Genomic DNA, 11,688 nt, shown 5'->3' with positions numbered 1-11,688 from the left:
ATTCTCCCTCAATGAAAAGAAAGCTTGGACATAAGGTATTCCACTCCATTTGCCTTCCCTCTTACAGAAAAGGTCAAGCTACAGGATAGTATTGTAATTTGTACTTCCCTCGGGTGGCCATTTTTCCCCATGAGAGAGAGAATATTGGGGCCAAGCCATAGTGCAGAAAAAAATGAGCCACCTCTTTTTTAGGGTTTGTGGGTCAAATTGGTCCCAGTGGCTTAGGATGCGTTTCAAGGGTGAGCCTGTTGATGCCTGAGTGTTTCCCATCTAAAAGACAAAACCGCCTGCAGTTTTGGTTTGTTTTGTTTCTCCCCCTGCCCAAGAACCCGCAACAGTCCCTGGACCCTGCTGATCGGAATAGTTGCGCTCACTGAAGCAGCAGCAGAAACACTAGTTTTCCTCCCAGACCACATGGAGGACCAAGGAAGGTCGGATTTAATGGTCCTTACCGACGCATTCTCGAAAACCTGCACCCTTGCCTGTCCTCCTAGACCACAAGGAGGACCAACCGAGAAAAATCGGATTTAGTGGCCCTTACCGACGCATTCTCAAAATCCTGTTAGAGTCCTAAGCATTCTCCTGTTAGTATTGGGACTTTACCCCGTCCTATAAAGATGTTATGCCCCATAAATGAAGTGGAGGGCCATACCCTGAGGGAGGGCAGGGATCTCCAGGGTTGGAAGAGTGACACCTTTTGTCCTCACTTATATGAATATGAAGGATACACTTTCTGAGGCTCCCCATATCCTAGCTTCAGGAATAGCTTTGTTAGGCCTATCAGTCTGAGGAGGGATCCTAAAATTCCAGGTAGTCCCCACTATGACGGGGCTTTGGGCAAAAATTATGTCTTTCTGATTGGTGAGCCCTGGTACCTAAAGAAGGTAACAGAGTCCTGGAGTTTATACTAGAAATCATTCTTATAGGAGAAACTAGAAAAGCACCAGAGACAGGTAGCAATTTTTAGAAGCAGGACAAGCCTTGGAGAAGAGAGGCGAGAGGAAGTTTGTCTGGCAGGCATTAGGACCCGGGGGCAAGGGTCAGGATAGATGGGCGAGTCTCGCTTGGGCGACATGCCTTTCAGAGTTCTGCTCATGGCCGCAGGGTCAACTAACTTGTTGTCAGGACCTCGGAGCTGCATGGCTTTCCTCTCTGTCGACCCTCAGCTCAGCCCAGAAGTATAGGAAAAGCAGAAGCTGATTCTAGGCAAACCAATGGTCCCAACTCTGAAGAGTCGGGGGTTGTTAGAGAGCCCTTTCCCAGAAAGCCTGACACCCGTGTCTTTATTCCGGCAGCCGTGCTAGTTGCTTTTAACTGGCCGACAGGTGGCTGGTATTTAGCCCCTGAATTATAAGGAAAGATAGGACAGAATAACAAGCAAAAGGGGTCCGATGGTCTCACCACTCAACGCTAGGCGAAGGTCTCACCGTTCGGCGATAGGCGATAGTCTCACCGCTCGGCAATTGTCTCACCACTTGGTGATAAGTGAAGGTCCCTTCGTGGTCACCAAAATGTGTCCAGAATTGGTGGGTTCTTGGTCTCACTGACTTCAAGAATGAAGCCACGGACACTCGCAGTGAGTGTTACAGTTCTTAAAGGCAGCGTGTCCGGAGTTTGTTCCTTCTGATGTTCAGATGTGTTCAGAGTTTCTTCCTTCTGGTGGGTTCGTGGTCTCGCTGGCTCAGGAGTGAAGCTGCAGACCTTCGCGGTGAGTGTTACAGCTCTTAAGTTGGCGCATCTGGAGTTGTTCGTTCCTCCCAGTGGGCTCGTGGGCTCGCTGGCTTCAGGAGTGAAGCTGCAGACCTTCACAGTGAGTGTTACAGCTCATAAAGGCAGTGTGGACCCAAAGAGTGAGCAGTAGCAAGATTTATTGCAAAGAACGAAAGAACAAAGCTTCCACAGTGTGGAAGGGGACCCAAGCGGTTTGCCACTGCTGGCTCGGGCAGCCTGCTTTTATTCTCTTATCTGGCCCTACCCACATCCTGCTGATTGGTAGAGCCGAGTGGTCTATTTTGACAGGGCTGATTGGTGCGTTTACAATCCATGAGCTAGACACAAAGGTTCTCCACGTCCCCACCAGATTAGCTAGATACAGAGTGTCAACACAAAGGTTCTCCAAGTCCCCACCAGAGTAGCTAGATACAGAGTGTCGATTGGTGCATTCACAAACCCTGAGCTAGACACAGGGTGCTGATTGGTGTGTTTACAAACCTTGAGCTAGATACAGAGTGCCGATTGGTGTATTTACAATCCCTGAGCTAGACATAAAGGTTCTCCACGTCCCCACCAGACTCAGGAGCCCAGCTGGCTTCACCCAGTGGATCCCACACCAGGGCTGCAGGTGGAGCTGCCGGCCAGTCCTACGCTGTGTGCCCGCACTCCTCAGCCGTTGGGTGGTCGATGGGACTGGGCGCCGTAGAGCAGGGGGCAGCGCTCATCAGGGAGGCTTCCCCCGCACAGGAGCCTATGGAGGAGGTGGGAGGCTCAGGCATGGCGGGCTGCAGGTCCCGAGCCCTGCCCTGCAGGAAGGCAGCTAAAGCCCGGGGAGAAATCGAGCGCAGCACCGGTGGGCCAGCACTGCTGGGGGACCCAGTACACCCTCCACAGCCACTGGCCCGGGTGCTAAGCCCCTCATTGCCCGGGGCCGGCAGGGCCGGCTGGCTGCTCCGAGTGCGGGGCCCACCAAGCCCACGCCCACCCGGAACTCCAGCTGGCCCACAAGCACTGAGCGCAGCCCCGGTTCCCGCTTGCGCCTCTCCCTCCACACCTCCCTGGAAGCTGAGGGAGCCGGCTCCCGCCTTGGCCAGCCCAGAAAGGGGCTCCCACAGTGCAGCGGTGGGCTGAAGGGCTCCTCAAGTGCTGCCAAAGTGGGAGGAGCCCAGGCAAAGGAGGTGCCAAGAGCGAGCAAGGGCTGTGAGGACTGCCAGCACGCTGTCACCTCTCATTTTTACTTTTCTCAGCATTCCACAAGTGACTTCCTCCTTCCTTTGTTCTCCTCTGCCTTTGCCTCTTTTAAAAGTTCTAAGTTGCTAGCCAATCAGGACAAATACAGAATGTGAGGTCCCATTCCAGCCAATGGAAACCGGACACAGCAGTAGGGTGGACACCTCAGGTTATGAATGTCCTTGTCTCCTTTGTTTGGTGTACTCTCATGGCAAAACTGCGGGTGAGTGTACCCTTTCTGCATAAAGTAAAAATGGCCTTGCTGAGGAAATTAAATTTATGTTCAAGTGCTATTTATTTACGGCACTGAGGAACAAGCATTTCTAACAGCTTGAACCCAGGAGGCAGAGGTTGCAATGAGCTGAGATCACGCCACTGCACCCCAGCCTGGATGACAGAGTGAGACTCTGCCTCAAAAAAAAAAAAAGAATAGTATTTATCCAGTGAATAACAACCTAGGCATATAAGTATGTGGCAAGCATTCTTTCTCAAAGAATTCAACAGTGGAGGACACCCAGGGCAGTGACTGGCAAACTTTCTCTAAAGGGACAGATTTTCAGGCTTGGAGCACCACAGACATCTGTTGCATGTTTGTCTGTTCTTTTTTTGAGACTGAGTCTCGCTCTGTCTCCCAGGCTGGGGTGCAGTGGCGCCATCTCGGCTCACTGCAAGCTCCACCTCCCGGGTTCACACCATTCTCCTGCCTCAGCCTCCAGAGTAGCTGGGACTACAGGTGTCCGCCACCACGCCTGGCTAATTTTTTGTATTTTTAGTAGAGACAGGATTCCACTGTGTTAGCCAGAATGGTCTCAATCTCCTGACCTCGTGATCCACCCGCCTCAGCCTCCCATAGTGCTGGGATTACAGGTGTGAGCCACTGCGCCCGGCCGTTTGTTTGTTCTTTAGCAACTCTTTAATCATGTAGAAAAAAAAACTGTAGTTTTGCAGGCCTTATAAAAACAGAGGACTGGCCAGATTTGGCCAAGGGTTACTCTGCTCTGGAGTAACACTACGCTAAGTGTAATCCCGGAAACAGTGCCAATCTGCCAACCCTCTGTGATAATTCTGTGATTAAATAAGAACATCTATCTTCTGAGTATTTCTTAGAGCTACAATAAGAGAAATGCTACCCTCAGTTTCTGTAGTTATTCCAGCAAGGACCCATAACCAGCACTTTGAGGTTTGATACTGGCCTGCAGAAACACTTGCATCATGCTGCCGTCAAAGATGTGTGTCATGTTTTATGGGCATCCACCATCATCTGAAAACCTTTCTCATGTTGGCAAATTTCCCATGTGATGAGTTCTTCCAAAGACAGGGCCAGAAATTTGCTTTGTCTTCCTTACTTGGAGTTTTGGTGCAGGCAGATGACCTAGCTGCACTAGTAGCTGTGTCTGAAAGAGACCTTGATTCAAGAGAGCAATGTGGTGAAGCAGTTGCAACACAGAATCCATTTCCTGGTGAGGGTAGCAGTAGAGGCTTCCAGCTGTTAGGAGCACCAACGACAGAGGTTCTGGCATCAAGTACCCACTGCAGTGTCCATGCCAAGCCCTGATGACAGTGAGGTCTTTGCTATGGGCTTGGAGGAGCAGTGGGGTATTTTTTCCTGGCTGTGTAACTTACAGATTGATTCTTAGGCCCTTTGAAGATCTTGTGCATTAATGTTCTTAATTTATTTATTTTTGAGACAGGGTCTTGCTCTGTCACCCATGCTGGAGTGCAGTGGCACGATCTCAGCTCACTGCACCGTCGGCCTCCCGGACTCAAGTGATCCTCCCACCTCAGCCCCCCAAGTAGCTGGGACTACAGGCATGCACCAACACGCCTGACTAATTTTTGTAATTTTTGTAGAGACAGGTTTCGCCATATTGTCCAGGCTGGTCTCCAACTCCTGGACTCAAGCACTGCACTGGCCTCAGCCTCCCAAAGTACTGGCATTACAGGCAGGAGCCACTACACCCAGCTGAGTCAATGTTCTTTAATAAATTCCATTCATATTTAAACTAGCTAGATTCCTCTTGTTTGCTGATACAGATGCCTACAAATGAATGATATTACCTTGCTACCCTAAATTATAAATGGTAGACATTTATTATTACTAATTACCAGAGAGCTCTCTTCATTCAATAAGAATTTATTAGGCCAGGCACGGTGGCTTACACCTGTAATCCCAGCACTTGGGAGGCCGAGGTGGGTGGATCACCTGAGGTCAGGAGTTCAAGACCAGCCTGACCAACATGGTGAAACCCCGTCTCTACTAAAAATACAAAATTAGCAGGGCATGGTGGCATATGCCTGTAATCCCAGCTACTCGGGAGGGTGAAGCAGGAGAATCACTTGAACCCAGGAGGCAAAGGTTGCGGTGACCCAAGATCACGCCATTGCATTCCAGCCTGGGCAACAAAAGCGAAACTCCATCTCAAAAACCAAAAACAAAAAAAAAAACACAAGACCGGGCACGGTGGCTCACGCCTGTAATCCCAGCACTTTGGGAGGCCGAGGTGGTTGGATCACGAGGTCAGGAGATTGAGACCAACCTGGCTAACACAGTGAAACCCCGTCTCTACTAAAAATACAAAAAAATTAGCCGGGCATGGTAGCTGGCGGCTGTAGTCCCAGCTACTCGGGAGGCTGAGGCAGGAGAATGGCGTGAACCCGGGAGGCGAAGCTTGCAGTGAGCCGAGATCACGCCACTGCAGTCCAGCCTGGGCGACAGAGCGAGACTCCATCTCAAAAAAAAAAAAGAATTTATTGAGTTCTTTTGTTCCAGTTAGTGTAATAGAAATACAAAGGTGCGGTCCCTTTCTCAAAGAGTTTAAAATTTATCCTAAGAGTCCGAAGCAGCATCCTGAAAACAAATTTTAAGCATCAAGTTGTGTACCACTCTACGGAAGCCCACTTCTAAACAGCCTATGGAGCGCCTGCCATGCCCATAACTTTTTCTCAGTATAGCAGCCACAGGAGATTCCTTAAGCTTTAAGTAGCCATTCTTTGTGTCAAGTAACCTTCTCATCCTGGCAACAATTTATTGGCCCAAGAATTTGAACCCAACAATCATGGAAGATCTTGGGGAAATTCTTGAATATGGTTGAGTCCCCTGGCATCTCTGTGTAACATTTCTTCTCACAGAAACAATTCAGGTAGTAGTTTATGAACACTGATCTTGAGAAAATATGCCAAGATTCCCTTAACTCATATCTGCATTGAGAGAACAAGTAACATTTGTAAATACTGTTATTTAGGAAAGTTTATCCTTAATCTACACTTATTAGAAAGAGTAAGCAAGCAAAAGGATAAACTTGATTGTTTGTACCCTAAAAGATTAAAAGAGCTACAAATAGTCTATTTCTTGCTCAGATGAAAAGGAGGAGTAGGCTTGGGCATGGTGGCTCACACCTGAAATCCCAGCACTTTGGAAGTCCAAGGTGGGCAGATCACCTGAGGTCAGGAGTTCGAGAGCAGCCTGGCCAACGTGGTGAAAACCCATCTCTACTAAAAATACAAAAATTAGCCAGGCATGATGTCGGGTGCCTGTAATCCCAGCTACTCAGGAGGCTGAGACAGGAGAATCGCTTGAACCCAGGAGACGGTGGTTGCAGTGAGCTGAGATCACGCCACTGCACTCCAGCCTGGGTGGCTGAGCGAGACTCAGTCTCAAAAATAAATAAATAAATAAATAAAGGAGGAGTAGACAAAATACTAATTATTAATGTTTATTGAATGCTTACTCTATTCCAGAAACTGGCCGTTCTAAGTGACCTGAATGTATTCTTAATCCTCACAATTCTGTAAGATGGATACTATTATTATCCCCTCTTACAGATGAGCTGGTTAAACAATTTGCTGAAGGTGAACAGCTAGTAAGTGACAGGGCAGGGATGATGAACCTAGGCAGTGGGCGTTCAGAGCACATATACTCCACTATGCTAAACCACCTCTCTTCAGGTGGCTGCAATTGCAGCTTTCAATATTTTTTCTCAAAAAAAAAAAAAAAAAAAAAAAGACTTGAGGTTAGAATGGAAAAGTGTCAGGAATTAATGGAGCTCATTGGTAGGTACACAGTTATTACATTATTCTATGTTTCTCTGTATATTTCAATCACAATATTAACACAATTTAAGTAAAAATAAAAATTATGCTGTTTAGCAGCAACAAAATAAAGTAATCAGTATGTACATGTGAGTCAGGGAAGACTTCTACAGAACAGGAGACACTTGTGCTGGATCTTAAAAAGTAGTCAAAAGATAGATAGGCCAGATGAGGTGGCTCACACCTGTAATCCCAGTACTTTGGGAGGTCGAGGTGGGAGGATCCCGTGAGCCCAAAAGTTCTAGACCAGACTTGGTAACAAAAGGAGACCCCTTGTCTCTACAAATAAAAAATAAAAAATTTAGCCAAGCATGATGGTACGCACCTGTACCAAGTACACAGCGACTTGAGAGGCTGAGATGGGAGGATCACTTGAGCCCAGTAGATAGGGGCTGCAGTGAACTATGATCACACCACTGCACTCCTGCCCAGGCAACAGAGCAAGACCTTGTTTCAAAGCAAGCAAACAAACAAACAAACAAAAACAAACATAGGTAGATGGACATTCTGGGTGAAAAGAGAATACCACATGCCACATAGCAAGGCGTGAAGCTAGCCACATGCATTGCCAAGTTACAAATGGTACCACGCAACTGGAGAAAATACTAGAGACAAGTCTTTAGGAATAGGCGAGGGCCAGGTCCTAAAGAAAGTGAATACTGTTCTAAAGAGTTTGGAGTTTTTATCTAAGAGGCCAGAGATCACACTGAGGCAAAAGGGGGGCCACATGTGGCATAAGGCTATGTTCAGTTTGTGTGTGTGGACATGTGTGTGCAAATTTGAATTAGTTAACTACATATATATCCAAAATATGGCAGCTTTCACATAAAATTTTAACTTTTCTACTTCTCATGAGAAATCAAAAGATTTAACAATACAGGGATGCTCAACAATACAGGGATACAGTATAATAACTATTTAGATAGCATTTACACTGTATAAGGGCAGCTCACTTTGCCACGTCCCGTACTTTACTCTGATGTAGACACTTGTTTTTTTGTTTTTTTTTTGGTTTTTTGTTTTGTTTTGTTTTGTTTTGTTTTTTGAGACTGAGTCTCTCTCTGTCACCCAGGCTGGAGTGCAATGGCGCGATCTCGGCTCACTGCAACCTCCGCCTCCCAGGTTCAAGTGATTCTCCTGCCTCAGCCTCTCGAGTAGCTGGGATTACAGGCACATGCCACCATGCCCAGCTAATTTTTGTATTTTTAGTACAGACAGGGTTTCACCATGTTGACCAGGCTGGTCTCGAACTCCTGACCTCAGGTGATCCGCCCTCCTCGGCCTCCCAAAGTGCTGGGATTACAGGCATGAGCCACCACGCCGGCCAACACTTGTATTTTTTCATCCCTGTTCATTCTTTTTTTTTTTTTTTTTTTTTTGAGACAGAGTTTCGCTCTTGTCACCCAGGCTGGAGTGCAGTGGCGTGATCCCAGCTCACTGCAACCTCTGCCTTCCAGGTTCAAGCGATTTTCCTGCTTCAGCCTCCCAAGTAGCTGGGATTACAATGCATGCCACCATGCCTGGCTAATTTTTGTATTTTTAGTCGAGACGGGGTTTCGCCATTTTGGCCAGGCTAGTCTTGAACTCCTGACCTCAGGAGATCCATCCGCCTCGGCCTCCCAAAGTGCTGGGATTACAGGCATGAGCCACCGCACCTGGCCCTAATTCTGTCATTTCTTCTATATTCGTTAGCTAACATCCTGTAAAGAAGACATTTTCTTTTTTACTCTCCCATCTGTCTCTCTCTGTCGCACACACACACACACATGCGCACACACACACACACACACCCCACTGTGGCCTCAGCTTTTTATTTGCTCAATGAGTTGCAATCATTCTTTGTATTATTCAGAATTTCCCAAATCTCAAGTAATATAGAAAGGACAAATAGAATTCTCAAACTCCAGTTAAACTTTCAGAAACGCTTGAACTTCCTTGACCCAAACTATTGCCTTTTCTCTTAATGACAGTGAAGTCAACTCCATAGGTAGCCCATTAACTCTCAAAATCCTGGCCTCAAGTGATCTCCCTCTCTTGGCCTTCCAAAGCATTGGGATTACAAGCGTGAGCCACAGTGCCTGGCCTAGCCCATTGATTCTCAACCTATTAACTGATACTTAGTCATCTTATCTGCCTGGGAATGTTGCTCCCATTATAGACTGTCTTATTACGAGCTGATATAGCCAATATTGCCTATGACTGGGGTGATACGCTTGGTTTTGTAAAAACTGAGGTAAAATAGGCATAACAAAATTTAGCATTTTAACCATCTTTCAGTGTATGGTCCAGTGGCATTAAGTACATTCACGCTGTTGTGCCCCTATCACCACTATCCATCCCAAACTTTTTTCATCTTGCAAAACTGAAACTCTATCCATTAAACACTAACCCCTCATTTTCCTCCTTCTCCCAGCCTCTTGCAACCACCATCTACTTTCTCTCACTATGAATTTGGCTACTCTAGGTACTTCACATAAGTGGAATTGATACACTCATATCAACAACTATTTGTTTTATCAAGAAATATGAATACCTTTTCAAAAATATCCCTCAAAACAATCCCAGGCCAGGAACAGTAGCTCACACCTATAATCCCCACACTTTGGAAGACTGAAGCAGGAGAACCACTTGAGGCCAGAAGTTTGAGACCAACCTGGGCAACATAGCAAGACATGGTGTGTACAAACAATTTTTAAAAAACAAAAAATTAGTAGGGAATGGTGGCACCCACCTGTAGTCCCAGCAACTGGGGAGGCTGAGATGGGAGGATCGCTTGAGGCTGGAAGTTTGTGTGCTATGATCCTGCTACTGGATCTTGCTAGAGTGCTATGATCCTACTACTGCACTCTGCACTCCAGCCTGGGCAACATAGCAAAACTGCATCTAAAAAAACAAAAACAAAAACCATTGACAATTTAAAATGTAGAGGCTTCATCTGCTGAAGGACACATCAGAAAAAGACTGCCCTTTACCTCAGTGGAAAGGACCTTGTAGGCACTAACTAACAAATAACACAGCAATTGAACTCTAGGGTATTGATCCTTGCATCCTTCTTTCTTTCTTCCTTTTTTTAAGACAGGGTCTTTGTCACCCAGGTTGGAGTGCAGCGATGCAATCATAGCTCACTGTAAACTCAAACGCCCCAGTTCAAATGACCCACCTCAGCCTCCAAGTAGCTGGGACTACAGGCATGCGCCACCACACCCAGCTAATTTTTTTTTTTTTTAAGAGATGGGGTCTTGCCATGTTGCCCAGGCTGGTCTCAAACACCTGCCCTCAATCCCTCAAGATATCCTCCCACGTCAGCATCCCAAAGTGCTGAGATTACAGTCATGAGCCACTGTGCCCAGCTATATCCCTGTTTCTTGACCAAGGAGAAATTAGCCATTCTTGAATCAGGAGGACATTGCTATCAGAGACCTCAAATGGAGAATACTGAGGAATCATCCAGAAGCAGAAAACTGCAGGAAGGGGACAACTTCCACTGAAGACCATAGGAACAAGCTAACGACTGCATGAAGACAGCCCAAGACCTGAGGACCATGGAAGATAAGGAGCTGGAGCTATGTGTTTGTCACACTTCAATCTGCATGGAGGCTTTTCATAATTTTTCTAGATATTTTCTTTCATCTTTTTTGATTTATGCTTTGCTTTGTTGACAGACAGCTTGTTACCTTGACTAGAGTACCTATAAGCAATGATTTCTTAGAGCCAGATAGAACCGGCTTATGAGAATCAATTGCTAAATTGTCAGGAATCTTGCCAGATAGTTGTGAAACCACTGGTGACTTGAAATCAGTCTACAGGAACATGCACACAATGGAAATCAGAAAACATAGTTTTATTTGTCCTTACAATGTGTGTCTGGAAAATGTTACTGCCAGTGTTCTATGTTCTAAAGTTATTTGAAGTAATCATTTCCCCTGTGTGATTAGGTTTTATATTCAGGTCTGTTCATTTGTTTCTGTTTGTGTTCAATTGTTTCTGTTTGTGTTTAATTTGATTTTTTCCCATTTGACTTAATTTTGGTTTTTGAATATATGAGTAATTTACATGATTGAAAAGTTAAAACTGTATAAAGAAAGATACTCCAAGAGTTCTTGCTCTCACCCTGTTCCCTATTCCCATCTCACCCATTGTTCAGAAGTAGCCATTTCCATTTTCAACAATTTCTTGTTTATTATTTCTTTGAAAAAATACATATGCATAAATATGTGTGTGCGTGTAGATGTGCCCTAGTTTATTCAATCAGTCTCCTATTCATGGGTAGTTGTACTGGTTTTCAAGCCATTCCTATTGCAAATAGCATATCTGTATAGCATATCTTATTTTGCATTTGCATATCATATCTGTACATCATAGTTTGCATTTGTGGAGGTGTATCAGCTAGATTTCTAGAAGAGTCACTGAATCAAAGAGTAGATGAACATGTAATTTTGTTAAATATTGCCAGATTTCCTTCCAGGGGAGTTGTGCCATTTTGCAATCCCAACAGCAATGTGTGGAAATACCTGTTTCTCCCCAGGCTTACCAACAGCGTATGTTGTCAAGCTTTTGTACTTCTGCCTAAGAACTGTGAGGTGTCTGAGATTTTTGCCCTCCTTGCAAGGTGGATGCCTTGCCCTGGTGGGCTTGTGTCAGAGCTAAAGAACACTG

General features: G+C 45.9%; 1 annotated feature.

Moving 5' to 3' along the window:
* Positions 1-521: an enhancer, noted in NCBI's record as "OCT4-NANOG hESC enhancer chr13:100732007-100732527 (GRCh37/hg19 assembly coordinates)". NCBI's record gives its function as "activates a minimal SCP1, AML or CMV promoter by ChIP-STARR-seq in naive H9 embryonic stem cells {active_cell/tissue: H9 hESC(naive)}" and the evidence as "EXISTENCE:reporter gene assay evidence [ECO:0000049][PMID:30033119]".

The sequence above is a fragment of the Homo sapiens genome, chromosome 13 (genome assembly GCF_000001405.40).
Source record: "Homo sapiens chromosome 13, GRCh38.p14 Primary Assembly".
Classification (NCBI taxonomy): domain Eukaryota; kingdom Metazoa; phylum Chordata; class Mammalia; order Primates; family Hominidae; genus Homo; species Homo sapiens.
This window is presented reverse-complemented; position numbering and strand designations above follow the sequence as displayed.